Source organism: Homo sapiens, chromosome 10 (assembly GCF_000001405.40).
Source record: "Homo sapiens chromosome 10, GRCh38.p14 Primary Assembly".
Lineage (NCBI taxonomy): Eukaryota > Metazoa > Chordata > Mammalia > Primates > Hominidae > Homo > Homo sapiens.
Window position 1 is genome coordinate 118,669,984 of NC_000010.11, and position 2,111 is coordinate 118,672,094.

Below are 2,111 nucleotides of genomic sequence, written 5' to 3' on the forward strand. Positions count from 1 at the left end.
AGAGTTTTAGAGGCCTGTGCTCCTAACCAGCACCCATGCTGAACCCCGGAAAGATGATGTGACAGCATCCAGCTCTCACTCCTCTCTGTCTCACTCAGAGGAAGGGGACAGAGAGGCGGCAGCCCTCCAAGAAGGCAGATGCCATGGTGCTGTCCCAACAGCTGCTGGCAGTGTCAGAGGGGACGGCCCTGAGGACAATAGGGGTCCTCAGGGTGGGGGTGTTGCCAAAGGAGATTAACATTTGAGTTAGTGAACTGGGAAAGGCAGACCCACCCTCAATCTGGGTGGGCACCTAGCAGTGCCACCAGTGTACCCGATGTCCCCCTGGAGTCAGATAGCCCTAGTAGGACACAGCAACAAACCTGGCATGGAGAATGGAGGGAGCAGCAGCACAGACCCCAGGGACATGAGAAATAAGATGCCAGGCACAAAGCAAGGACCTGCTCAATAGGGGCCTCATTTAGAGAACAAAAACTGAGGCCTGAGATTCAGTGTCCTGCTCAGGACCCAGTGAAGCAGGGTGGGAGCGGAGGCTCCCTTCCAGCAGATCCTGTGACCAGTGATCAGAGGACCACCCTCGCCCCTGCCCATTCCAGCCATTAGAACCTGTGGTGTGTGGGCAAGGGTCCCCAAACAGGGCCCGTCACCTGCCCACCCACTCCCAGAAGGCCACCAGTGCTCTCACAGGCTGAGGGCCAGGGCCAAAGCTGCCAGGCTGGCCCTGTGAGCTCCTGCTGCAGTGGCGGCAGAAATCCACCTGCTGCAGTCTGGATATGGGAAATGCATTTTTCACCCCATCAGGCATCAGGGCGAAAGCAATTTACAAATGGTCAGCTGGGGGAGAGACGCGGCCAGCAGTGTTTTGTAGTCCATTAAAAGGTTTGGACCGGGGCTTTGAGAGATGTGCCAGCAACTGTGCAGAGGCATTCATTCACCAGACCCTGCTCATGCAGCTCACTTTGGAGCTGGGCAAGGACCCCCGGGATGCCAGTCAGTGTAAGAGGACACCTGGGTTTCTCTGCTGGTGGGTCATCGGGGATCAAGGGCTCTGTATTAGTTAGGGTTCTCTGGAGAGACAGGACTAATAGGACAGATGTATATACGAAAGGGAGTTTATTAAGGAGTATTGGATCACACCATCACAAGGTGAAGTCCCACAATAGGCCATCTGCATGCAATCTGAGAAGCAAGGAAGCCAGTCCGCGTCCTAAAAACCTCACAAGTAGGGAAGCCGACAGTGCAGCCTTCAGTCAGTGGCTGAAGGCCTGAGAGCCCCTGGCAAACCACTGGCATAAGTTCAAGAGTCCAAAAACTGAAGAACTTGGAGTCTGATGTTTGAGAGAAGGCAGCATTCAGCATGGGAGAAAGATGAAGGCCAGAAGACTCAGCCAGTCTAGTCCTCCCACATTTTCGGCCTGCTTTTATCTAGCCGTGCTGACAGCTGATTAGATGGTGCCCACCCAGATTGAGGGTGGGTCTGCCTCTCCCAGTTCACTAACTCAAATGTTAATCTCCTTTGGCAACACCCCCACAGACACCCGCAGGAACAATACTTTCAACCTTCATTCCAATCAAGTTGACAATATTAACCATCACAGGCTCTTAGGGACTGTGTCCCTGGGCACTCTACCCCAGGAACTCTAGACTAAGGATCAGCCTAGACAGTCTCCCCCTTTTTTTTCCTAAAGAGAAAATGCAGAGGGAAGAAACCAGCAAGCCACCATCTCATAAATGTATTCATTTGTTTACCACTGTTTTAGAAATGCTCAAAGCAGCTAACGAAGACTTCACTTATGAGGAAGGGATTACATGCAAAGCAAGAACACACAGGGGATCCTCTGGGGGTCTTAGGGCATGTGGGCTGCAAGCGGCAAACACTGACTGTCACCCCTTACAGTGAAAAGGAAAGACCATTGAGGTGCTACAGCCTTTGGAAGGGTAAGGATCAGACAGCCCCAGCACCAGCTCCGGGTGTCTCTGCTCTTGGGAAGGGCCAGCTCCTGCCTTTTGAGGACTTCAAATTGCCCCATACATAATTCCAGCTCCAGGAGAGGGGCCTGATTGGCTCAGGTACATTCCCATCTGCTAGCTGAAGAAGGCAGGACGCCTTC